Source organism: Homo sapiens, chromosome 15 (genome assembly GCF_000001405.40).
Source record: "Homo sapiens chromosome 15, GRCh38.p14 Primary Assembly".
Taxonomy (NCBI): Eukaryota; Metazoa; Chordata; class Mammalia; order Primates; family Hominidae; genus Homo; species Homo sapiens.
The window spans coordinates 58,221,450-58,249,280 of NC_000015.10; the positions used below are offsets into that span (position 1 = coordinate 58,221,450).

A 27,831-nucleotide genomic window follows, 5' to 3' on the forward strand; every position below is an offset into this window, starting at 1 on the left:
GGAAGACAGTAAGTGCCTGACATTATAATAGAAGATTTTAAAGTTGGAAATAGACTTAAGGATCAAATGGGCCAATATTTCTACTTTATAATTGTAGAATCAGAGGCTGAGAAGGGGGAAATGACTTGGCCCATGCAGTGGATGCTGGATTGTGTTGCCCAGATTGCTTCAGGACTAAAAGCCTAATCCCAGCTGCTAGAGATGTTGCTGGCACTCCCTGCTGTGGTATTGCCCTATGTTGGGAAGAGCTGCCTCAACAAAGATCCCACCCCTCCCAGCTGGCATCCAAAGACAGGCTACCATGGGTGCAGTCCAGTCACCTTGTCCCAACTCAGGACAGCTGTGTAGGGCCACCACAGCTCTAGAGTGACCCCATGTGGTTAGCTGAGCCCCGTGGTGACAGCATCGTAGCCCAACTTCTCCTCTGTCCAGTCCTGCTTTCTTCCTTCAGGGTATTAATCCTATTAATCCTCCTGAACCTTGATCTCCAATTCAGGGTCTGCCACCTGGGGCCCAACCTGAGACCCCCCCAGAGTCATCCATTTTACTATTAGTAGAATTAAAAACTGACACCAAATCTTCTGACAATAAATCTACTAGTTGCACTGTATCATATTGCCTTTCAGATCCTTATCAATTTCCTTAAGTGTTAAGAACACTGAGGCCACTATTCAAATTTCCTCCTGGGGCAAAACGTCTCTATCTTTAAAGTTACTTGGCATCAAAGATAGTATTCTAGTTTTATTTAAAATACAATGTATTTAAAACACAACACATTGTGTTTTAAATAAAACAAACTAGAATATCCACTAAAATCTCTTCAGCGTTTGAATCTGGATAAAATTGATATGAAGTCCTAGTCCACGCTCTGTGGAAATTCAAAGCTTTCTGCAAGATTTCTGTAAATTTCCCCAAAAGCTTATATTCTTAAAACAGTTCTTACTCTGTCTCCTGCTTCCAAATGTACTGTCTAGCACATAGTAGGTGCTCAGTAAATATTTATTGTTAGCCAAGTGCCTCTTTTCCTTTCTCCTGGGAATAGTGGCCTCTTTGGGGAAACAATTTCTTTTCCCAGCATCTCAATACTAAAACAAGGGTTCCAAAACAGAGTATTTCTCTTTTTTACATGCAAATATTTTAGCATCAGTGATTGGCCCAGGGTTGAACACATAACCCAATTCAAGCCAATCAGTATCTCTTCCAGTGACTAAAGATTAGAACTAAGGGGAAAAGATCTTTTCGTGTCTGGCAGCAAAGCTCCGAGGTTAAGAGCCTGGAAGCTGCTGGTGGCCACATCCCTGTTGAGTAGAGAAAGTTCATCTGTCAAGGAAAAAATAAAGCCCACACATAATGATCAAGAGAGGAATCTGATGGTGTTTCAGTCCTACATAGCATAGTCTCTGAGCCAGCTCCACCTTCCCACAGTGTGAGCTGAAAAATGACATCACTGTCAGAGAAGCAGGCTAAATTACTTCCCCACAAGATGGAGCTGATGATAAGTGGCAATAATTGTAGTGGAAAAGGAATGTAGAATTAGAAAATAACACCAATCACAAAAACAAGTCAAAAGCTGTACACATAAAAAGGCAAAGAGAGAGTGACAGATTAAGAAGGTGAACAATGTTGCACAGTCCATTTGTGAACTGTTAAAAATGTAGCCTCTCCCTGGAAAACCCTTGCCCTTTGTCCATCAGCAACTCCTGTGATTCCAAAAAAGGCCATGTCTCTCCTCCAGAGGAAAACTTACTTGTGGCCCTTATCTAACCTCCCTCCCTACACATCTCTGTAAGTCCAATGTAGAACATGGGTTTGAGGTAGACTTCATTTGCTAAATACTTATCAAGAAGGCTTCAAAAAGCTGGTAGGGTTTTTAGTATCCATGTCACACAGAACAACGCCATTTGGTCTGGAAGAATGGCCTCAAGTTGGCTGTCTACATTAGTCAGCATCATCAAACAATCACTGAATCTCCAGCGGCCTACCCCAAGACTTTGGGAAGTGGAGGTTTTGTCTTTTGCAAAGGATTGATCCTCCTTTCTCTTTCTTTTTCTAGAAAGAGGAGAAAGATTTATCCTAGCATTAAGTTCCAGAGGAAAACTATTTTTGCTTCAGTGGAACTGAATGATTTGTAAAATCATTCCTCCTTTCAGGTTCTAGGTAGAATCACGTGCTCAAAATGATGCAATAGATGGAATTTATGCGAGCCAACCGTCTAACATTGCCCCCCTCCCCTCAATACACATACACACTTAGTCTTATAGGGGTGCTGTTCCAAAAAGGCCTCACCAAAAGCCCCCTCATACTCAGGTCTGCCTATGCAGTTTATACAGAGGAAGGGTCTTTTGGGAACCCTGCCCAGGTTCTTCTGGACAAAAGGCATAAATAACTCCAACTGGGTAGGTGACTGCTGGGGTCTGTAACATGGGCATTTTCCCAGTGATGAGGCTTTGAAATCCTCCAGGGTTTGAGACAAAATGTTAACTCTGTTGACTACAGGAAAATGATAAAGAAACAGCAAACACCACTTTAACACCAAAAGCTAGATTGTAATATGAATTTTCAAAATTCTAATTCTCTAAGCTTCCACTCCTGCATCCACAAAATGAAGAACAACAAGACCTACTTCACGCAGTGTCGTGCTCAGGCAATGTTGAGTAAGTGAATCACTGAGCTAATTAATTTGCTAAATAAATGCATCAGTGTTCTTGGTTGCAAACAATGGAAACTCAATACAACTAACTTAAGCAGAAAAAGCATCTGTGGTCAAGGCCCCTGGGGGCTCACAGAATTGGCCAGGAAGCAGAAAAGCCAGTGCATGATTGTGGGATGGAACCCAAGCAGGAAACACAGCCAAGGTCTTGGCACAGCAGCAGCCAGTCAGGACACAGCTGTCATCCCCCAGTGCTCACACACTGCCCAGCTAGAGGCCTGTCCCTGACCCACCCCCAGACATGTCCCTTGCTGCTGGGCTGTCCACTCACCTAGTGCAACTCCCCTGCCAAAGAAAATAGAAATGGGTCTCGTTCTGTGTGCCTGAGTCTCCTGGCTTCACCACTTAATGTTTAAAAAAAATGTATAAATGTAACAATGTGGAGAAATTACCGCAATTTTAAAATAGCCATTTCTTTCACAACCAGAGCAATTAATTTCAAGTTTAGTTTATACTTGCTTCTGCCAAGGAGTTGGGCCCTTATACAGGTTAAAACTGAGTCCAAAAAAGAAAAAAATGCTAGATGGATGGATGGATGGAGGCTTGGATAGGTACATAGGTAGATAAATAATACAATAGAAAAAGCAAAAACAAAACCCCAAAAAACAGCTACAGGGAAATACGTCTCAAGCACTTGACTTGAGCAAATGAGCATATTTGGACAATGAATTTAACCTTAAGTTATCTGGCATCCAAGACTTGGAGACTTGGAGAGAAGTATGATGTACTATACAATTTCTTTCTTTCTTTTTTTGAGATGGAGTCTCGCACTGTCACCTGGGCTGGAGTGCAGTGGTGCTATCTCGGCTCACTGCAACCTCAGCCTCCCGGGTTCAAGCAATTCTCCTGCCTCAGCCTCCCAAGTAGCTGGGATTATAGGCGCACGCCACCATGCCCAAATAATTTTTTGTATTTTTAGTAGAGATGGGGTTTCATTGTGTTGGCCAGGCTGGTCTCAAACTCCTGACCTCGTGATCTGCCCGCCTCAGCCTCCCAAAGTGCTGGGATTACAGGCAAAAGCCACCGCACCCGGTCTATAATTTTAATTTTATTTTTCACACCAAAATTTTATCTATAGGGACAAAATGTTTTCTGGCAATAATCTCATGCAAAAAAAAATTTCCATTTGAATTTCATATGAAAGGTGTTACATGAGATAGTAGACAGTACTACCAGTTATGGTTTCACTAACACAGAAAGGATAAACCTCGTGTGAAATATTTTCTGGAGGCAAACTCTGTCTCAGAAATGTTTCTGCCATGCACGCTGGAAATGGGGCCCGGGTGCTTTGGCTCCTGTGCTGTAGTTTCTACCCCAGATACGACCTGAAGAATCTGGATGTGCTTCTAGCAGATGCTGCCAATGGGCCTCCCCTTTCCAACATCAGATGTGTCAAAGTAAAGTGTTGGCACCGGCTAAGCCTCCAAGAATGTTTGAACAAATCTAACACATACCTGCAGCACTGCAGGTCCTTGTCATCAGGTGCAGTGATGGGTTAGGCCTTAGATTCCAGATAGGAGGAGGTAGACTGGCATTTTGTTCTGGAAGGTTTCAAACCCTATGTGTGCTCTTGCCCAGACAGTAGCCTGGGCCTTGGCAACAGGAGGAGAACCTGCAAATGGAAATGCTTTTTAAATGTATTTGTTTTTCTTTTTCTGAAAGAAATTCAGAAGCTGCTCAAACTCCAGTGCAGTCATGGAGCCTCCATTACCTGGGAGGCAGCCTCCAAGCAGCATGCAGCCTTGTCAGAAACTGCACCGCCAAGGGTGAGAATGGCATTAGAAGCAAAGAGGTAAATTCTAAACTGTTACTTTATACAGAAGAGAGTTGGGGAGGCTATCAGAACCTAAAAACAGCACTGAATTTGAATGCTTACAAAAACACCGCCAAAGGGCTAAAAAACCTCCACTTCATTTCAAAAGAAGACTGGAGACAGGTTTCCCCCCCATTTTAGTAAGAAATTAAGATGAAGACAAAAATAATGTTAGGTCGGTCAGATGAAATGTGGCATCAGACTGGGTTTTCCAGAAATGCATGCCACATGAGCCTGCAGGAGCCAGAGTAGCTCTGCAAGAAAATTAACTGACTGTCTGCCTCTGTGCAGAAGATTGGAGAAGGGCCTGACCCAGCGGAAGAAGGAATGATCACGGCCTCAGGACCACACAGTGTCTGCCTCTCTTGGAAAGGCCCACATTTGGCCGCTCCATTCTCCACTGACTGATCTATACTTCCTCAGGAATCAGCTCTGAGAGCCCCCTGGGGATGCTCTGCCAGCTGCAGCTCACCCTTCCCCACACTCAGCCACCCCTCCCCAAGGTCCCTCTGTGGAGGGAAAAAGGCTTTGCCTCTCCTAGAGGGAACATCACCAAGGCAGATGGAATAGCTCATAACAAGGTCCATGTGCAACCCCTCACCTTTGTGTGTGTGAACATAGGGCAGAGGTAGGAGGAGAGGGGAGGGATAAAGGAAGACAAGACTCTCCTTGCCCTAGAACCAGATATTTGCTAAATCTAGACCTGAAGGTAAAATTACTTTGCTCCTATCAGAGGACGTAGTTAGAGGGTGGGAAGAGGGGAGGGCCACCCTTCTTCTCCCCCCACACCCTTGCTTCTCCCATTTCCCTTAATTCTACCGGTTCCCTCTGTGACAACACTCCTGGGTGACAGGCTCTGGATCCCATCCCCACCCCAGAGAATCCCACACCCAGTCTAGGCCAGGTGCCTGTTCTACTCTGGTGCAGGCTGCTTTAGCCACTGTTGGGGAAGGGAAAAGCTGGGCGTGTGGAGAGTGAGGGTTGGGGGCTTGCAAGGGGTCCTGGCAAGTGAGAAGACCAGTGGGCTCAGAGGGAATTAGAATTCCGTGATATATTCCAAGGAAACTCAGGCCTAGGATCTAAATGGAGAATGGAATGCAGCCAGGGGCTGGGAAGTATGAACTGGAATCTTTGCCTTCAATTTGCACATGATAACAATGCCCCTGAGACTAACATCTGGATAACAGAGCACTTGTACACACAGCATCTTGTTTGACTCTTATACCCACCTGGTAACATATAATTATGATCTCAATTTTACAGACCAGGAAAGCTAGCCCTAGGGAAGTGAAATGACTTTCCCCAAAGAAGCAGCAATAAGTGGGCTTTGAGTCTTCTGATCCCAGAGTATGTTGATGATAAAATAACTCATGAACTTTAGCAATTATTTCAGAATTCTCATGCTGCGGAATTAACAAAATAAAAAGAAAATAAAGAATATATAAGAAAAAAAGATGTACCTATGTAAAAGCAACCCCACTTACATCCCCTAGTGTGAACTCCTAATCCTTGGGCCTAAAAATTGTGGAACTCGGTATGATAATGGACATGATGAATTGTGTCTGATTAATAAATTTCTTACAAGTTTTATTTATTATAACCTAAAAAAATCTATACACATGATATTTTCACACGTCATGTTCTTCATGGTATCTGCTTACAATAGTTGCATATTCTCTAAGGGACTGCAGTATTCAATTATTTTATTAGGTTCATAATACTTCACAAGATAAAGCATAAAGCAAATATAAAGAGATGGTTTTTGCTCCAAATTGATGCTGAATTCTAAATAAGGACGATAGTATGTGACAAATTAATATCTTTATAATTTGGCTTGTAAGATACAATTCCCAAAAGTGAGGCTCTTACCACACACAAAAATATGGAGACGGGAGGGAGGAACCCGACTTAATTTAGGTACACTGCCACCAGGTGGAGGCAGAGTGCCACGGACTGTGAAGTCCAAAACAATAGGTGGAGGATTTGTTAAAATTACAGACTGTAGCTCTGGGTTCAAACCCTACAGACTTGTAATCACAAACGTTTCCATTTTTTATGTATTAGAAACATTTACTGGAAAATAAAATTCAAGCTAGCGATATACAAACATTTAAAATAGCTCTTTAGAAGGACTTTACAAACTAAAACTATAGTTATACATCTTTCCCTTCAATCTCTTAAGGTTCTTTTTCTCACAAACACCTTCAAAGAAGGTGACTATTGATCCCTCCTAATGTTGTTTTAGTGTGAAACCCCTAAGATATCTGGAATGGGTTTGGTGAAAACTTCCAAAGCTCCATTTCAAGCTCTGACCTCTTAGTCTCTCCTTCTCTCAGCCAGTATAAGAAATAGCGGTGAAGGGAATTGGAAGGATAGTGGTGGTGAAGGCTATGGAGGGAGACCGACTGTCCCAGTTTACCCAACACTGCCCCAGTGTTAGCACTGAAAGTCCCACACCCAGGGGCACCCCTACTCCCAAGCAGACCAAAAGAAAAATATAGGCTTTCATTTCAGACTTGCTGCTCTAAGACCTTCATCTCTTCCCAATAGAAAAAAGCCAAATACTCCCCTATCTGATGAACCCCTCGAATCTCATGTATAAAAACCCTCCTTCGGTGTGAGTCTTTGCTGTGAGGTTAAGATTGTGCTTTGTATTTTAGGTGGAGGCAGGTATGATGTGTAGTAGATACACAAATGTATAGAGGCTGGTGAAGTTGCAGCGGGGAGCAGGTAGACCAGCTGTTTCAGGTAAACAGACAGGTCCTCAAGGAAGTCCCTCAGTTTATCATGCCAACCTCTTTGGACACCTTGAGGCCTCTGATGAGGCTGCTGGTGGCAGGGAAGCAGGAGAGAATCTGCTCCAGCTGACACAGGATGTGACTCTGGAACAGAGGCTGGAGGCTCCTGGAAGGGATATATTTAGCCCAGCTCTGTTAATAGCTGACCCCTTGGATTGCCTCAGGAATGTAGCAGGCAGAGTTCTTCATGGTGAAATAAGACGTACAGGCTTACAACTTGAAAAGAAAACTCTTCAAGGAATGACCTTACAAAGAATGACTCCACAGGGACCAGATGAAAATGTTAATGTTATTTTGTGCATTGCTTTCCTGAGCACTTTATATCCATTATATTCATTTCCTGTATTCTTTCATGTAATTGGTACAACCATAATTTAGCTTTTCTTCAGGGCAAGAGTTCTTTGTCAAGTTCATGTTCTCGGGCAGAGTCCTAACAAATCCTGCAGGTATACTACACCTGGTACCTGCCGACGCCTATTGAGGAGGAAAGCCACAGGATGTGGTAACATTCTCAAAAACAGAGATCTAGTTAGAATTACCTCCAAATCCTGCAAAGAATGAAACGGAGATGCTGACCATGGGAGCAATGTCCCACTGGGATGGCAGGGAGATCTCACGTGGTGCCTACCAGGGAGGGGGGTGGGGGGCGGAGTTGGGGGCGGGGGGAGCACGGGAGTTCCGAGTGCTGAAGACTGCAATGGGAACAGACAAGGAACAAGGCGACACAATGGCACAAACAATGCTAGAACAAGACATTTATTTATTGAATCTGAAGCAGGAGAACTGAAGACAGCTGAGAAATATGGTTGAGTTCCTAACTCGACAATGAATAAGCAGACTGTAATTTACAATTGCATGGGTGTTAGGCTGCCATGTGTTATGTAAATAGCTGTGGGTCCCTTTAAGAACAGAAATCCAGTGAGGACAAGGCCCTTTTGTGATACAGACTGGCTCTCCTGACTCAGACCTATCTTGTTTTGCAGGGAATAAAAGGAAGCCCACTTGGATAGAGCTGCCAGATAAACTAGAGGACACCCAGTTAAGTTTAAATGTCAGGTAAACAACAAACAAAATATATTTTTAATATAAGTGGGTCCCAAATATTGCATAGGACCTACTTATACTAAACATGTTATGTGTTGTTTATCTGAAATTCAAATTTAACTGGGCATCCTATTTGCCAAATCTGTAACCCTACACCTGGGATCAAAAAGGAAAAGATAATGAGAGGGGAAGGGAAGCATTGCCATTAAGGCAAAGGAACAGGCACTTGGAGCAACATCAGAAATGCCCAAGAATAGAGGAGAAGCTCAAACAGTCAGAGAGCGTAGGGGCATGGAGAAGAAATGCTGGCCTCAGTAGCAAAAGCTCCCAAGAACCCCTCCAAATAGCTTCAAAGTTTTTCAGCTCACCTTGTTCCTGTTTGAGTGAATGGCCAGGTATTGAAAATTATTTTATTGGCCTTGTTGGGGCATATAACATTCTTTTTTAAATAGTAGAAGGCTGGACTTTCAAACTTAACTGGGCATTCCTGGCAAAATTCGTCTGATTAAAGACCCACTCAAATGAAGTCAAAGTGGGCTGGCTGGTGGGCTGGGAGAGGGTAGAGAGGTGGAGTTATAAATCCAGAAGGATGAAGAGAACAGGAGGGGATGTAGAAAGCAGACCCTGATGGAATTCTGGAAGTGGGAGAGCAGATAGGTGGAAAGGAGACCACCACTCTCCAAGGAGAGCCTACCGAGCTGGCAGGGACTTGAGCTCAGAGGGGCCAGGCACCCAGATGAAAGGAGAGTGGCATTTATCTTGAGGTCCTTGTGCTAAAGAGTAGAAACCAGCAGCCCCCACTCCCTTCACCAGTGGCCGACTGTGAGTCCCTTGGTGAGGAGACTAGAGAGTTGTTCTCTGCAGAAACTGGAAGGTAGAGAGGCTTCAGTCTTGGGAACTCCAGGTATAGCAGAGCACAGAAGCAAGTCAGGTGGGCTGAAAACATTAGGAGCGATGGGATTGAACACGGGCAACTTCCTCTGCCCTGAACACACACTGAAGGCTCCAGCCCAGCCCCAGGCAGGGGAGAGGAAGGTTCCTCCCCAGAGAAAGGGAATGGCTGCAGAGAAGGAGCTGGAACTCCAGCTATAGCAGAGCACAGAAGCAAATCGGATGAGCTGAAAGAGTAGGAGCGATGGGATGGAACACAGGCAACTTCCTCTGCCCTGAATACACACTGAGGGCTCCAGCTCCGCCCCAGGCAGGGGAGAGGAAGGTTCCTCCCCAGAGAAAGAAAATGCCCACAGAGAAGGGGCTTCCACATATCGCCCTCACCCCAATACACAAAAATAACTCACAGAGCTTCCAATCAGTTTATTTCTGCCACAATCTTAAATATAAACAAACAACCAAGGATCATCAGCCATTGGAGGGAACTTCCCACCCTCCTCTAGAAGCCCCCCAACCAAAGGACCAAAAGAAGAAAAAAAAGTAAATGAATAGATGAAAGTGTCAGATACAGAGGGTGGACTTTAAAACTTCTACTTAATAACCCCAAACATATGAGACTATATTAGATATTCTTTCTCCCCAAAAAAGAACAGAATATGATTAAAATGAAACAATTAGAGAACAAAGTAATCTTGGCAGCTTTAAGCATGATACCAAAATAAAAATTCAATAGAGGACTTAGAATATAAAGAAGATAGTATCTCTTGCAAAATGGAACAAAAACACGAAGATATGGAAAATCTAACAGAAAATATAAAAGACATAGAGAATTCAGGAAGACCAATTTTCACATAATAGATATTTCAGAAAATGGAGTTGAGAAAACAGAGGGAATGAAAGTATCAAAAATTGATATTGAAAAATTAACAGAACTGAATAATAATAGCTAACGTTTATTGAGTGTTCACCGTGTGTTTTAGAAGTATTAACTAACTTAATCTTCCTGATAATCCTGTGAGGTAGCTCCTATTATAGATAAGGAAACTGAAGTACATTTCATCACCAGAAATACCTTTATTATTTTGTCTCCATGCCCCTCAGTGAAGGAAGCAATGCCATAAGACAATAATGAGGTTGAGTAACTTGTCCAGTGCCTTCCAGCCAGCAGGGCCAGGACCAGGATTCAAAACCAGAGTCCAGCTCAGGAGCTCAAGCTCTGGGACTCACTGTGTCTTAGTCTGGATTTCCTACAAACCAAACCCAAAGACTAAATTTTTCTTGCTAACTCTTCACTGGGGAACGCAATCCCCAAAAAGCAAGAATGATGGAAAGGAGGGAACAAGGCAGGGAAGGAGGGGGAACAAATATAAGAGAGGGTGCTCCCAAGCTGGCCATGGATTTGTAATGAGTAAAGATGTTTGCTTTTCAGTCTCTTAACGATCCAACTGAGAGCAAATAGGAAAATTTATCTGCTGGTTCCCATTTCCAATGGTCGGACTTGCCCCATAAGATTTTATCCTTCCTCCCCTATGCTTCTTGGCTGCTCCATCTGGCTCTTCCAGAAGCCATCAAGGAAGCCAGATCCCACTGCAGCAGCAGCAGCAATGGCAGCCAGCAAGTGTGCATGGGCCAGTGGCACACCCACAAGCTTGCACAGCTGCCTGCAGTGTCTCAGACCCTGCTCAGAAAGCCATCAGGCAAGTGCAGGTGCTGGGTGCACCCACAGTCTCATGCCTTAGTGGGAACAGGGAAGTCCTAGGGAAGGAAGTGAATGACAGTTGCATGAGGTATGACACAGGTCCTGTTGAATCATGCCTTCATGTGAGTGGCACGAAGGATTGGAGCAGCTGCCATGGTGGGCCTGGCCAGCCAAGAAAGCAGTGCTCCACACTGGTGATGACAGAGTCAGAACTCAACAAAGGTCAAAAGTCCCCTCTGCAGCCTTTAAGAGTGTGGTTGGGGCCAAGTGGTTTTCCTGGGGGGCCATCAGTGAATGGCAGCCAGTCCAATCAGGGGGACACATGGTTGGGTACGGCACTCTGCTATGCTGATTCTGCAGAACTGAATGCTGACAATGACTATCTCAATACAGCATTTGCCACTATGTGCCAGGCACTACTCTAAATGCTGCATGTATATTATTTGTTTTAATCCTCATAGCAATGTCATGAGGTTCCTCGGGATTTCCCAGACAAAAAAACTAGCCCAGAGAGGGTTAGTAAGTTAATCAGTGCCATAGCTGCTATATGGTGGAGTCAGATTTTGAATCTGGGCCATCCAACTCTGGTGTCAGTACATTTCACTATCAAAAGCCTACTGACCTGTTGTTGAATGGTCAACAAACAAATTAAGAAAGACCTCCCAAGAGGTGAAAATTTGGAACATCGGGAATAAAAAGATGATTCTAAAAGCTTCAAAGGGAACAAATCAATAGAATTAGAATCAGAATAGTGTTTGTGGTCTGAACTACAACATAAAAGCCAGGCAACAATGAAGCAATGCCTTCAAAATGTTAAAGAAGATAATTTTTCAGCCTAGAATTTTACAACAAGGCAAATTGAATCAAGTATGAAAACAGAATGGACATTTGCAGACTTGTTTAGACTCAGATAATTGACGTTCCTTTCTTAAAAGTGCCTGGAGGATAGGCATCTTGGTTACAAGGAAATAATCAAGGAAAAAGAAAACATGGCATCCCAGAAACCTAAATCCAACCTAGAAAAGCTATTGAGAGAAGATCCCAAGTTAATCCCAAGTGTGGCAGAACTAGAGAGCCACTAATCCTCACTGGTGCAGAAGAGATAGTGCTTCACGAAGGAGTGTCCAGGAAAAAGTAGACCCACAATAGAAAGGGTGATGCAATAGGTGATATGATGAAGCTTCTGGAAAGAAGATGCAATCAGGCAATTATTAACTCAAGGAATGACCAAAGCCTATTCAAGAAAAAATATGGAATCCCAGTATTCTAATGGGTTCTGGAGTGAACAATACAATACTTACATTGTCATAATGGTTTAAAGACCTATGATTGATATAACTTAAAGTGTGGTAAAATTTGGGTGAGAGGCTGAAGAGAGGTGGAGATATTAAATCTTCATCTCTGATAACATTTGTAAGTTTAAATACTGCAATATACCCACGTATTTAAATGCACACGTAACTCAGAGAAACCAGCTAAAAATTCAAAGCATGTCCCTTAGCAAAGAACCAGCAGCCGGTGTGGGTTTGTTCAGGGAACTACTGCTTTGTATTATAAGCTTTTTAACACTGTTTGATTTCTTAATTACGTAAATAATTACCTCAATTTTTAAAAAATATAAAACTCCTCTGTTCTAAAAAGAGCAAGCCTGCAAGAGAAGTTAATGCAATTGAAAGCACAGCCTCATGAACCCCCTAAGTTTCCCTTGTAGTTCACCTCCTTGGCACAGACCAACCCTTCATGAACTCCCCTCCCTTGACTCACTCATGTCTTTGGTTTGTGCTCTGTCTTTGGCTTTGAGCAGCTGGTATCCTTTCATTTCCCATTCTGACATCCGCCTTCCATACAAGGTCCCAATTCACCTTTTGTCTTGAACCTTGATAGCTCAACTTTTTTCTTTCACCCTGCCTTTTTCCCCAACTTCTAAGACAAGTGACTCAGAAATGTGGCTTTAAGCAAACAATTATACGAAATATAATCTGTTGTAACTACTAATTTATCTCTGTGACTTTGGCCAAATCACCTCACTTCTCATAGTTTCCTTGTCTATGAAGTAAGAGATTAAATCTCGATGATCCTAAATCTTCCATCTCCACTGTTCTGTGATTTATATTTGGATCTTAAGGCTGAGTTGGCAAAGGTCTATAGGAATAATCATAAAGGAAGTGATGCCATCTATTCTATGATTAAGGAAAATAATTTACTGAAGATTCATATTGGGTTCTGTTCACTTTAAAAAGAAATGTAGGCTGGGCATGCTGGCTCATGCCTGTAATGCCAGCACTTTGGGAGGACAAGGCGGGTGGATCACCTGAGGTCAGGAATTCGAGACAAGCCTGCCCAACTAGGTGAGACCCTGTCTCTACTAAAAATACAAAAATTAGCTGGGTGTTAGGGCACATGCCTATAATCCCAGCTACTCGGGAGGGTGAAGCAGGAGAATTGCTTGAACCTGGGAAGTGGAGGTTGCAGTGAGCCGAGATTGTGCCACTGCACTCCAGAGACTCGGTCTCCATAAAAAAAAAAAAAAAGAAACAAAGAAAGAAAAGAAATGTGAAACTCTCCATCCGAAACTTAAAAGGATCAATGGTCCAGAGCTGAATCAAGCTAATAGGAAGCCTAAATGGAGAGCAGAAGCTTCCAAAGTCATTGAATTAGTCAGTCCTGATCAAGCTTCTTTTATGAACTTTTTTATGAGAGGGATATTCAAATCCAGATTAAAATAATGGCTCCAGTGACCTTGTAACCCAAAGAAGGGAGTTTGGTTTTAAATTGCCTAAACTCTTAGGTGAGATAAAAGGTAACTGGAGATAGACAAAGGCAGAGGCTTCCATTAGATGGGCCCAAACGACAAAAGAATAAAATAAGAGCCCAAAGATGCCCAGCCATCCCTAATTAAGGAAAAAGGATACTGCGCTGTTACAGGCAAAAGCATTTTTCCTTTCTTCCAAGGTACAGAACACCAAATTGTGTGAACTAATCCACTTGCCAAGTGGATCTTAGGACCAAAAGAGAAATGATGGTATGCATTTATAATTACTAACAGGTAAATTACAAATGGCAGGTTTAATATACCTTCTAGAGTTAGGGAGAAAAATCTTATTAGATATATGAGAGCCCAGGGTCATGTCACTAAGTAGATTAGACTTGATGGAACCTGCTGATTATGTCCCAGCAAGATACAGCGGGATCCAGGGAGGTCAGTTCTTTGAAGTATTAATAGCCTGTAAGTCTTCCACAAATATAAGAGATTAAGCAAATATGGTCAATCTCAAAGTAGCACCCAAATACACACAAACACACACACACACACACACGTTCTGAGAAACAGAAGGTAAACAATGCCAAGAAAGGAGAAATCACTAGGGATTCCCAGTCCTTTCCTATAAGTGAATTGACTTTTTAAAATATAGATAACTCCATCCCCACTAACAAACTCATTATTGTCTTATGGCATTGCTTCCTTCACTGAGGGGCATGGAGACAAAATAATAAAGGTATTTCTGGTGATGAAATGTTTTCCACCATTTATGTATTCAATACACATTGATTGAATAATAGAGAATATATACTGAACCCTCCCACTGTGCCTGGGACGTCATTCAGGGCCTTCCATATATTGTCTCATCTTATCCATATAACATCCCTGTCTGGGATTATACATTGATAATCTGAGGGGGGCCTGGAAATATTCATGAAAAGGGGGCAGGCATTTAAAGTTGTGTAATAGGGTGAGTAATTACAAATAAAGACTACTTCATATTAGTCATGATGTTCAAAATATTTAAACACTGATATAGTTTGGATCTGTGTCCCCACCAAATCTCATGTCGAATTGTAATCTCCAGTGTTTGAAGTGGGACCTGGTGGGAGGTGACTGGATCACAGGGGTGGAGTTCTCATGAATGTTTTTGCACCATTACCCCAGAGCTGTCTAAGTGAGTGCGTGAGTTACCACGCGATCTGGTTGTTTAAAAGTGTGTAGCACCTCACTCCTCCTCTCTTCCTCCTGCTCCAGCCTTGTAAGACATGCCTGCTTCCCTTTCGTCTTCGGCCATGATTTTAACTTTCCTGAGGCCTCCCCAGAAGCAGAAGCCACTATGCTTCTGGTACGGCCTGTAGAACCATGAGCCAGTGAAACCTCTTTTCTTTATAAGTTACCCAGTCTCAGGTATTTCTTTATAGCAGTGGATAACATGAGCACTGACCAATCCATAAACAGGTGCCAGCCTCAGTCCTAGCAGGTCATCCCAGCATATCTGTTCAACCCAGAATTAGCATCTTTGCCCCTCTCCCATCCAGGAAAGAGAGCCCGGCACTGTGGAACAAAACAGATTTTATATTCTGGGCCCACTGAAGAGGACTCGCCTCTTCAACTTCAGTAGAGGTCTAGAAGTTTGATGGGCTACCTGGGCCCCTGGTGGGCTGCCTGTCAGAGAAACTCAAGGAAGACACCCTGTTCAAAAGACCTATTATAAACTTGCCTACAGATTTTTCAAGTTGAGTAGTAAGCAGAATTCAGAGGCTCCTTCATCTCCCTGGCCTTAGAGGCCTGTGTGCCCACCAAAGAAGTTGTGAATGTCTACCAGAAGTTGGTCTTGGTACGTGATGTTTCTGGTGTGTGTGTGTGTGTGTGTGTGTGTGTGTGTGTGTGAATGGGTAAGTGGGTGGAGGGTGGGGGAGTGGAAGAAGTTCTCCACAAGCTCAAAAATATCTTTGAAGTCTCAAATTTTATCTTTAAAAGTCAGGCTAAATTTCAATTCTTCCCCATAATAGATCACTCCTTATTTTAATACAATAATTCCCTCCCAAAACATTGAGTAAATCTATGCTCCACAGTGAGGCTCCATGATTATCTAAAAGCTTAGGGAACCCCAACTCAGATGCACAACTGGTACCCCAAGTGTACTTGTGCTGGGGATAGGCCCCCAAATCTGGCCATAAACTGGCCCCAAAACTGGCCATAAACAAAATCTCTGCAGCACTGTGACATGTTCGTGACGGCCATGACACCCACACTGAAGGTTGTGCGTTTACCGGAATGAGGGCAAGGAACACCTGGCCCACCCACGGCGGAAAACCGCTTAAAGGCATGCCTAAGCCACAAACAACAGCATGAGCGATCTGTGCCTTAAGCACATGTTCCTGTTGCAGATAACCAGCCAGACCCATCCCTTTGTTTCGGGCCATCCCTTTGTTTCCTGTAAGAAATACTTTTAGTTAATCTAGACTGGGTGTGGTGGCTCACACCTGTAATCCCAGCACTTTCGGAGGCCGAGGCGGGTGGATCACAAGGTCAGGAGATGGAGACCATCCTGGCTAACATGGTGAAACCCCGTATCTACTAAAAATACAAAAAATTTTCTGGGCGTGGTGGTGGGCACCTGTAGTCCCAGCTACCTGGGAGGCTGAAGCAGGAGAATGGTGTGAACCCGGGAGGCGGAGCTTGCAGTGAGCCGAGATCACGCCACTGCACTCCAGTCTGGGCGACAGAGCGAGACTCCGTTTCAAAAAAAAAAAAAAGAAAGAAATACTTTTAGTTAATCTATAATCTATAGAAACAATGTTTATCATTGGCTTGCTGTCAATAAATATGTGGGTAAATCTCTGTTCGGGGCTTTCAGCTCTGAAGGCTGTGAGTCCCCTATTTCCCACTCCACACGCTGTATTTCTGTGTGTGTCCTTAATTCCTCTAGCGCCGCTGGGTTAGGGTCTCCCCGACCGAGCTGCTCTCGGCAACTTGTCCCCCAAACGAGAAGCAGGACTGGTGGAAAGAGCACTGTGTGAGGAGTGAGGCTGTGCCCTGCGTGCTCACAGCACCTGGGGAGCCGAGGAGGCTCAGCACATGTCAGATGAGAAAATGAATGAATGAATGAATGAACGAACGAACAAACAAAGAGCTGGTGACTCCTAGTGGAATACCAGTTTCTAGGAGTCCTACTTATGTCCGTCCTGGCCTGCAGCATGTGAGCCATTTTGCTCACACTCATGGCACAAGCCAAACACGTATACTCAGGACAGACTTTCAGGACAGACCCCGAAGATACAAAAGGACAAACCTAGCAGGAATAATTGATCACTTGGGAAAAAGGAACCTGAACCCAGGAGACAAAGCAACTGACAAGAGGGGAATTCTATATGTAAAACTATTAGACATGGGTGTTAAACATCCCCACTGTCTGTGGCAGGAGAATAAATCATGTTGCCAGCAGCAATTTGCAGGCAAGGGAAGGTTAAGGAGAATAGAACAGGAGAGCCGGAAAACACAGAGGAGCCTCTCAGGTAGGAAGGGGACCTCACACCACCTTGGCCAGGACCCTTGCAATCTGGAGAGGGACACACACCAGATATCCTGAAGGCTGTACGGTGACCCGGTTCAAAACAAAATGATGAGAAGGCTTAAGAGAGGGCAAGGGAGGTCTCTCCTCTCAGAGTGCTCGGTGTGCCTGGGAAGTGATAGGAGAGAATGTGTCCCCATTCAAATTCAAGTATGTGACAGCTACATAATGGCATGCCATTTTTTACCCTGATGTGCCATAATATTTGAATTTTTGTGTGCTTCAAACATGAAGAAGGTAGCATTTATGTATTTGTGTACTTTCAAAGTAACATAAGAAACAACCTATAACATGATGGGAAGGATTTGTAATCTACTCTGATTCCTCAGCAAGGGCATGTATATGTATGTGGATTTCAGAGTCTAAAAAACTGGGTCAACTTACATAAAATGTCCAGAATAGGCAAGTCCATCCACAGAGACAAAAAGTAGATTGGTGTTTACCTAGGGCTGAGAGGGAGGGATTAGGGGAAATGGGGAGTGATCGCAAATAGGTATTGGATTTCTTTAATGGGTGATGAAAATTTTCTAAAATTCATTGTGATGATAGTTGCACAACTCTGAAAATACTAAAAACCACTGAATAATACACATTAGATGGGTGAGTTATATGGTATGTGAAATATATCTTAATAAAACTGTTAAACCCTGAATCAGTGCTCTACCTCTGTCACTGAATAGTTGTATGCCCCTGAGAAAGTTACTGACTCTTACCTCTGTTTCCTCATCTGTAAAATGGGGATGAGATGATGGGACTACCCATCTTATGTAAGTGATGGGGCTTCTGAATGAGACCATATCTTTGAGAGGGCCTAGCGCAATGCCCTGTATGTGGCAGAAATGTGGTCAATGTCAGCTCTCTGTCCATTTGTCCCAACGTAACAAATGAATGAATACATTTGAATAGTAAAGTTTAGATTGGGTTCCCCATCAAGGACCCTCAGAGAGCCTAGAAAATAATCATAGGATTTCTCTGGCCACCTAAAGTTACACAGTTGCTAGAGATCAGGCCGCTCCAAACTGGTAAAAATATCAAGTTTCTTTGCAGGAATCAGATTAACACAACATGAATATTTGCTGACTGCAAGTTCAGTTTGGACAATGTATAAGTCTTCGGTCAGTTAATCCATTATTACTTGGTAAGTGCTGCTTATTTGAAAGACAAAAATCTTGCAAAACAAGGAGTCCATGGAGTACACTCATGAAAGGGTGTTTCGTGGTGACAGGGTAGAGAACCACCAAACCAGGTGCCTCTGAGCTCCTTCCAGCTCTATTGTTTTGGTTGAGTTTTGGAAGATGGGTGTTTGCCACAGACAGGGAAATAGCAGCACAAGTGACAGCTTGGAACATCAGAGGCCAGGCATGTTTGGGGAAGAGAAGAGAGTTCCATGGCTCCTTTCTGGCTCCTTCTCAACTGCTTAGACCTGACTCTGGCGCAGGATCCATGCATTTTAAAAGCTACTCAAAGGTAATCCTGCTCCTATTCCTGTCACTAAGCTTGCCTTTTGTTTGGTGACACTGCTGGGGTCAAAGCCATGGTCCTACTCATTGTTATTCCAACACAAATGGAGGCTTAATGTGACTTGTCCTAAATCAACTCTTACAAAGCACTCTGAGGCTCCTAGCATCTGCCAGCCTCCGCAGCTGAGCCAATTGCTGGGCAGAAGGAAGAGCCACCTGGGACGTTACTTCCAGGTGGATCCAATTCTGCTTAGGGCACTCACTGCGCGCACACAGCACAGTGGACACTAGCACCTTCCTGGACTTGGGAGCTGCTGCCTTTGTCTAATGTGCCAGCTGTCAGAGAAAGACTTCTGCCTACAGAAGTTTAAAGTAAGAAAAGGGCTTGCCCAGGAGTGTTGGAGAAGGCCCAACAGCTGTCTTCCGAGAGGCTTCCCAGGGTGACAGCTCTTCATTTAACGACTTGACCATGATCCATGGTCTGACCTTTGGTCTGAGTGTAGACACAAAGAGAGCAGCCAACCAAGGTCAGGTGGCTGAGGCATAAAGCCATTCTCCTCCTGAAGATGGATCTGGGAGGAAAGCCGGCTGGCTGTGGAATGTTAGTTTGTGGTCCTGGATCTGAACAGAGGGTGGTTATGTAGGTGAAATGTGGCAATTATTAAGATTGCCTGGGTCGGCCAGGCATGGTGGCTCACGCCAGTAATCCCAGCACTTTGGGAGGATGAGGCGGGCAGGCAGAACACCTGAGGTCAAGAGTTCGAACCAGCCTGACCAATATGGTGAAACCTCATCTCTACTAAAAATACAAAAAAATTAGCCAGGCGTGGTGGCAGGCGCCTGTAGTTGCAGCTACGCTGGAGGCTGAGGCATGAGAATCGCTTGAACCCAGGAGGCGGAGGTTGCAGTGAGCCGAGATCACACCATTGCACTCCAGCCTGGGTAACAGATCGAGACTTTGTCTCAAAAAAAAAAACAAAAAAAGGATTGCTGGGTCAGCCGTCTCCATCCCTACAGCTGGGCCTGACAGTGGCAGGCTGGGAACCCTTAAGAGATGGTGGTTAACATTCTCCCATTCCACCAGCAGCCAAGACAAAGTTCAGGTGGACATTCTGATGGACACTGCCTATTTTTGTCTCAGGGCCTCTCCTTTTCCTTAGTTTTCATGATGACCATGTCTCTGTGATTGACAGCACCTATTATTAAATGTATTAAAATATTCAATGGAGTTAGTAAAATCCGTGCGGGGCCAAGCTGTCTGTCTTAGATTTTGCTTCTATCTGCTGGGATCTGGTTGGACCCTCAGAGGATGATCTTATCTTCCCATTGTTTGAGGCTGTCTCATTGCAGTTTCTGAGTATTAAGTGTAGCTGACTAACCTTCACTGCCTACAGAAGGTCAAAATGCCCACAATGTGCCAGGTACTATGCTAAGTATTTGGCAAATACTAATTCATTTTATCCCCATAAAACCCCATGAAGAGTGATCAGTTATTATCACCATTTACAAGTGAGGAAACTGAGGCACTGAAAGGGTCAGTAACTTGCCAAAGAGCATGAAGCTAGGAAGTGGACAAGGCAGTATCCAAACCCAGGTAGTCCAGTGCCAAGGCCAACACCTCCAACCAGTGTGTCTCAAGTCGTAATAACAATCACCGTTGCAAAGGTCTTCCCCAAGAAACAGAAAATTACCTGGATTCCAGAGATAACAGATGACGTTTATTGGAGATTCGATAATCTAATTGGGTCAAGGGAAAATGTTGAGTTGATCTTTCTGATTAAGTAGCTGCTGACCTAGAAAGAAGAGGGAGGTGTAGCCGAGCCCGTTGTCCTCCAGTGCCCTCCCCTCCCCTCCTGTCTGGTTTGATTCCCTGCTATTACAGTCACTCCTTTAACTTGCTGTCTTATTTATTCAGTGCACTTGAACTGAGTACTTTCCACATAACCGACGCTAGGGACACCGCAGGACATAGTTGCTGCCTCTGAGGAGCTCCCAAATTTGGTAAGAAGTCACCATTTGTTTTCACCTATATTGTCTAGTTAATCCTCAGAACCACCCCATGAAGTAAACAAGGTGAGAACAGATATACTCATTTTATGACGGGGCACACTGAGGCACCAAGGAGCTCATTGTTCTGCCCCATGTCTCCAACAATCACACTCATTAGAATTCCACCTGAAGCACTGTTTTGAGTATTCTGTCTTCTTGCCTCCACACTTACGAAATATACCTACATGGCCAATCTGTTAAAAGTTTCCACTAGTCATCAATGAAATGAGAAAAAAAATGATGATGGGAAAGTTTTTTCATTAAACTAAATTTTTTCTAATTAAAGAACCATTTTTCTTTTTTTTTCTTTTTTTATTATACTTTAAGTTTTAGGGTACATGTGCACAACGTGCAGGTTAGTTACATATGTATACATGTGCCATGTTGGTGTGCTGCACCCATTAACTCATCATTTAACATTAGGTATATCTCCTAATGCTATCCCTCCTCGCTCCCCCCACCCCACAACCGGCCCTGGTGTGTGATGTTCCCTTTCCTGTGTCCATGTGTTCTCATTGTAAAGAATGACTTTTCTATTCTGAAATTATGTCCTTCCTTCTTTTTGGTATTAAAATGCTCCTTTTTTAAATCGTAGTTTTTTTTTTTTCTTTTTACTGCACTTATACGGCAACACAAAATATTGGTGATTCTGCTGATTCCCAGACCTGTTTGCTGGTCTTTGAATCACTGCCGTAGATGCACATGATCCCTGAGAGGGACAGAAAGGCTATCCCATCATTCAGGGGCATAGGCGAGGCACTCTTACTATTTGCAGCACCCAAGGTGTCTGAGACCATGGCCTTGATGGGGAAGACAGGGACTCTTTGAGGAGCCTTGGATTGAGAAAAACAAGGAGCAGTGACATGCTGCGATCCCTTCACTCTGACTTACACGAGACCCAGGACTCTCCATAGCCATGGCAACTAGCCCAAAATGACAAGGCTGATTAATTCCACAAGTGCATTATTCACGTGTCACCAAATATTGACTCTTATCAACCTCCTTCCCCCAGCCATCTGTCCTCGTGTGTCAAATCAAAATAAATCAACAAACAAAAAGTGGCAGGCAGATGCCACCCCAGGGATGCTGCAATTGCACAGTCCCCAGGGCTAGTCTGAGTTCTAAGTGGCTCTTTCATTTCCCCATCTCCCTTCTTCCCCAGATGACTGGGAGTGTGCACACATGCGTGTGTGCGTGCACGCACACACACACACACACAGGTTTTAGATGGCAATGCTATGGGTATGTGAGAGGGAAACAGTTGGGGTTGAGGGCTGCTGGGATGGAAACGATTTAAAACATCCTAGGAAGTGATAATGATAAGAGACCATTTATTGAGCTCTTACTATATACCAGGCATATAAATGTCAAGCTAATGTTTAACCCTTACCACAACTCTGAGATATAGAAACTATTATTATTTCCACTTTATGGATGAAAAACTAAAAATAATTTACATTAATTGACTTGCCCCAGGTGAAACATCTAGCAATTCATGACCTGAATTCAAAGCCAATGCTGTGAATCCTTGCATGAGCCAACTCACCTGTCATTGTCACCTGGACGTGTCATTCGATCTCTCTGTGCCTCCATTTCTGGGTGCTCCATTACCATGATGCACCCAATTTACAGGGCTCTTGTGAGAGCTTAATGAGCTCATGCATGTCATGCGTTGAGAATAATCCCCAGAACATAACAAGTGCTCAGTATGTGTTGGCTATTGTTACTGATAGCATTGTTACTTTTTATTACACAATGTTGTCTCCCTTTGCTGAATGAAGGGAATGTGGAGGACACAGACTTTACAAGCAAAGAGAATATATTTCAGTGTATGAACATTCTTGGGAATCAAGTGCCAGAAGAACTACATCTCTGTCACCAAGCAGAGAATAAGTTGTTTTCTCTACATCTGCCCACACCAGGTTGCACATTCTATACCCTGTACATTGCTCAGCCTCTTGTTCTCCTCCCCACTTCCTCCTGTCTCTTCTCTTTTGACAGCTCTCCAGAGAGGCCTCTCACCCCACCTTCCATAGCTTTGTCTCCACTGAGTCAAAAGCTGTTAGATCATCTGTTTGTCCCCTGAGTGGTCCTTAGAATGAACAGCCAAATGGATGGCTTGGTGGTGGTGTGTGCCATGCCTGCAGGAAGCTCCCAAGGAAGCAATTTCCAGCACTTTCCCCTCTGCAGCTTCCCACCAAGCTATGCGAAAACATATCAATGATTTGACTGCAACGTCCCTGACAGCTGCTGCCCATCTCCACGTGGGGCCCTCCAATAACTGGAAACTTGGTCTTAAATTTTTTAACTTGGAAAATACAAACAATGACGACGACCGTGAATGTGAGTTATTTCTGTGATTTCTCTTTTCATTAAAGTCCATCCAGTCACCAGTTTGAGCCTGTCACAAATCTGCTTCTCTCCCACACGACCTTCTCTGGCCACTGACTGCATTTTCAAAAGTAGCCCAAGGCCAGAGAACAGCTGTTTGCTGATTCCCTCGAGAACAAATTGCAAATTGTGCATCATCGGCATGTGCTCTTGGCTTCTTTGAAGGATGCGTTGAAATGTGCCAAATGGCAAATGAGAATCACAGAATCCAGGTGTCTCCTAGTCACTAAGATATAACTGACATGAAATAAAAAGTGTAAATTTAAAAAGTAAAAGGAGCATCAGTCTGTAACTCCTTGAGCTGGATTGTTCTAGAGTCAACCTGTTTCCACTGGGCACTACATTTCCCAGGGTGTTCCGGATTTGAGCTGACCCAATGTGAATTCGTGTAGGATTTGGGAGGGGAAGTGAAGCCTCTCCCCTCTGGGGGTTACTGTTGGTTTAGAGAGGTGAGATCCACGTGGAGGTGCCCAAGAGTTCCAGCAGGTCACTTTTCTCCACTGCACATGCAGCTCTCCTTTCAGGCTGCTGAGCCTGCTGACCGGCAGTGATGCCAAGCCCAGCACCGATGCTTTGCTGTGAATTCTGACCCGGCAGCCTTCCAGGGACTTCCCTGCCTGCCTCCTTTGCAGTCCTGCTCCAGCAGCTAGAGGAGCCCAGCTCCCCATCTTCCCTGAAAGCATGGACTCCAGCTTCGGGGCTGGTTCATCACCTTTCTATGACCCTCTAACTCCTCTTTTTAAACCCTTATTTTCCCAACACCTCCCACCATCATGTACAGTCTAATTCGTAGAATATCTTCCCTTTCTATGAAGTTCACAGTCTAATTCGTAGAATATCTTCCCTTTCTATGAAGCTCACAGAGGCTCTGACTTCCTGGCTGGACCCTGACTGATGCTTGTCCAGATCAAGAGGTCAGAGTGTGAAGCAAAGAGAGACTTGTCAAGAGATGTCCATGGGGGGAGATGCACTGAGCCACGTGTCCCCACCTTCTCCTTTACTTCCCATCTCATCATGGGCCACCATGGGATCTCCCAGGGAGCTTTGCTACGTGCTCCCTGCAGCTGAGATATCGGGGGCTGCCATCTAACTCATGCCTCAGAAAGCAGCAGCAGAACATCAAGGTGGCTGCACTGGGCTCCACTCACTCCCAGAGTTTGGGGACAGTGAGCAAGGGCTGCCTGAGAAGGCCAGCAAGGACAACTGAAAGGGGCAGAGCCACTCAGTAGCAAGAAGCCAGAGGTGAGCCCAGGCTTGGTGCTGCCTGATTCCAGATTTCTCCAGGATTCGTCAACTCAAAAATAAATATAAGGACAAGAAGAATGAAATGCAGGACTAGAACTTACATCGGCAAGTGCAGGGTCAAAAAGGAAGGCCTTGGTGAAGACAGGCAGGCCCAGGTGCTAGGGAGCACATTCAACCTCTAGATTTCTTTTGACCTCAGTAGGGGGAAGCAGTGACCAGCAGTCACCTGGGATGGAGGTGCACTCACCAGGGCAAGGGATCTGCAGCAGAGTCCAAATAGGAGAACCTTGGAGGGGCTCAAGAAAGCAGCTCTTGGCAAAGCAGCATTCGATATCTCTCAACCCAGAAGGCAGGAGGCCAGCTCCTGACACTGCCAGCACCTTGTTTAGCACAGCCTTCTCCCTCCTCTCTGACCCTGGAATGAGAGGTGGCAGTAAAAAAGGTGGCAAAGATTTGCTATAAACTTAAGTTCTGGATTTTGGTTAATCTCTTAGAATGGACACGTTGAACTGAGGTTGTGTTTTGTGATAAAGTGACCACGCAGAGTGTGAACTGGCCAAGTGTGGGCCTGCTGGAGTTTTGTACCCAGGGGCAGGAAATGCACTCCCATTGAAAAGACTCTAAAGTGGGAAAGGAAGCCGTGGTTGCTCACGTGCAGAGGCCAGGCATTGGGCACGCCAGTCACAAAAATCATGGCAGGGACACTAGGCCTACAGGCCTCACCTTGCATTTGCAGACCCCCAGGTTCCTCTAGTGGAGCCTCAGGCTCAGGAAGGGACACAGAGAAGGCTGAGGATGTGGGACTTGGAGGGCTTTCTCCTCTTCAAACATAGCTTTCACTGCTTTTTATATTCGAGTTTCAAATAAGCTTCCATTTGAAGGGGATAGGATTCCATTGCTTTAAAAAGCTCTTGCAACCTGCTTTCTGTCTAATCCCGTTTAACCAATTGCAGAGGGAGGGTCCTAGAGGGGAAGTGATCTGCAAATGTGGAGGCAGAATTAGAGGTGCAGCTCTGACTTATAACCCTGGGCCCTCCCCTGCCATCCCTGACCCCATGGTCCAACCTACTTTGATGTCTGCAATGTGATTTCAGATTTCTCCAGGATTTGTCAACTCAAAAATAAATGTAAGGACAACGATAATGAAACACAGGACTAGAACTTACATCAACAAGTGCAGAGTCAAAAAGGAAGGCCTTGGTGAAGAAATGGAGGCCCAGGTGCTGGGAGCACGTTCAGCCTCTAGGTCTCTTTTGACCTCAGTGGTCCTCTGTCACCTGCGATGCTTGTAGGAAAGCAGATTCCCAGTCCCCATGCCATCCTGGGGTACAACCCAGAATCTGGATTTCTAATGAGCAGCTCAATGATCTAATGGCTGGGTAAGTTTTGATCCATGGGGTGGTCGCACATATCAGGCCAAGGATGCTCCACATGTGGCGGGGACAGAGTGCTGCACACCGGGCTGGCTGCTCACCAGCAATGAGACACACCCTGGAGGAGTGTAACAAGGTAGCCTGCAGGCTGGGCGGGGCCTTGGGCTCTGGAGGAGCTTAAAGGGCCGATTTCCAGGCCAAGGTGGGCACCATGAAGGAACAGCAGCTGAGAGACCCCAGGAGTAATCCATGTAAGGACCCGTTCTAGAAGATAGCCCAGCAGAGGCAGGGCATTAGGCTACACAGTGGGTAGCACCTGGAATGACTTCAGAAGAAAGAGCTGGTGAAGGAGGCCTTGGATGGGGGTCTGCAGCCTGGGGGACAGAATGAAGTCAGGCTGCAGGTGAGAGGGATAATTCTGGTGAGGCCCTGTTTGGCCATCCCAAGGGGACTGAGACCTCAACGAATGAGGAAGAAGTTCTGCTAACTTGGGCATCTCAGACTAGCTCTGGCCATGGACCATCAAGACAAGGTTGTATATTTTCATAAGGAGCCTGAGTCCCAGAGCATCTGGAAATTAACGTATTATTCTTGCTCATCTATGTCAGTGGTTCTCAACCAGGGGCAACTTTGACAATATTTGGAGATATTTTGGTCACCACTCCTGAGAGTCAGGGTGGAGAAGGTGCGAGTGCTACTGGCATCCAATGGACAGAGGCCAGAGAAGCTACTAAACATCCTACAGCACACAGGAAACCCCCTACAACAAAGGACTACTCAGCCCAAAATAACAACAGTACCGAGGTTGAGAAACCCTGGTCTATGATGAAATCATTAGAGGAGCCCACTGCCCTTTGGGAAAACTTATATTTGAGTTGCTATGATATGGAGCCCTGATTTAACTCCCTCCACAAAGCAGCACACAATGGAGTTCTCACACCCCGGATGGCAGCCAGGCCTGGGAACTGGGCCCCGGCATGCAAGTATGTGCCGGCCACTGTGTACCATAGCAAGTTTTATTAAAAGAAAAGATAAACAGCAATGCATTGTGTAATCAGCTAATAATAGGTAGTGAAGCCTGTTGGCTTCTCACCCTCACACCCCCGCTGCCACGCCTCCTGCCATCTCTCACTGTCCCACAGCGATTGTTGTGCAATGTCACTGGGCATGTAAGAAGTCCCTTTGCATCCTTAGCCCCGGCCACTAAGGCTCCACTCACATGGTTTCTAGCAGGCAAACCCGATGTCTCTTGCAAACCACTAAGTTCCTCAAGGCGGGGGCCGAGTGGGGGACTATGCTTCTTGTTTTGTAATCTTTTAATGTGATGGTCAGCCAGCTGTGGCCACAAGAGGAGACAGGAAAGACTCGAAAAAAACAACACTGCTATGCTCACAGGTCCTAGCGACAGGCGGCACGGCACCTAGGGCCACATGGGAAAAACAGCAGAGCTGGGGAGAAGGGACTGCCGACCACGCTTTTATTGGGGTTTCTGAGGGAAACGCAAGGCAAGGGACGGTGAACCCTTGGATTGGCTAGTTTGAATAATTTCAGCAGATTCTAAACTCTAAGAATGGTCCCTGGTTGCCTGGTGCCTGGCCCCAGCGTGATTAAGGCAGAGGAATACTGCCTCTGGGTGTCTGGGCCAGACTCAGGTGGTGAGCTTCTGGACTGGTTAGTCTGCATATCAAAGGTATAGTCTGCACTGGTCCCTTCAGTCTCCAAGAATTGGCTAGACCTGGGAAGGGTCGTCTCTCCCTACCTAGAAAGGCTTTTTATGATATCAAAACATCATAATATACAGAAAATAAAAAATACAGGCCGAGTGCAGTGGCTCACTCCTGTAATCCTAGCACTTTGGGAGGTCGAGGCAGGCAGATCATTTGAGGTCAGGAGTTCGAGACCAGCGTGGCCAACATGGTAAAACCCCACTGCTACTAAAAAATACAAAAATTATCTGGGCGTGGTGGTGGGTGCCTGTAGTCCCAGCTACTCAGGGGACTGAGGCAGGAGAATCACTTGA

The 27,831-nt window shown here is 44.9% G+C and overlaps 1 long non-coding RNA gene across 1 annotated transcript, besides 2 other annotated features; it reads left to right on the forward strand.

Moving 5' to 3' along the window:
* Positions 408-457: a silencer, noted in NCBI's record as "silent region_6478". NCBI's record gives its function as "represses an Ori minimal core promoter by ATAC-STARR-seq in GM12878 lymphoblastoid cells {active_cell/tissue: GM12878}" and the evidence as "EXISTENCE:reporter gene assay evidence [ECO:0000049][PMID:35858748]".
* On the forward strand, positions 4,413-23,143 carry LOC124903499 (uncharacterized). Its single transcript, XR_007064653.1, has 3 exons — positions 4,413-4,502; positions 20,669-20,754; positions 22,804-23,143. It is a non-coding gene; the product is annotated as an uncharacterized LOC124903499 (long non-coding RNA).
* Positions 26,853-27,353: an enhancer, noted in NCBI's record as "H3K4me1 hESC enhancer chr15:58540501-58541001 (GRCh37/hg19 assembly coordinates)". NCBI's record gives its function as "activates a minimal SCP1, AML or CMV promoter by ChIP-STARR-seq in primed H9 embryonic stem cells {active_cell/tissue: H9 hESC(primed)}" and the evidence as "EXISTENCE:reporter gene assay evidence [ECO:0000049][PMID:30033119]".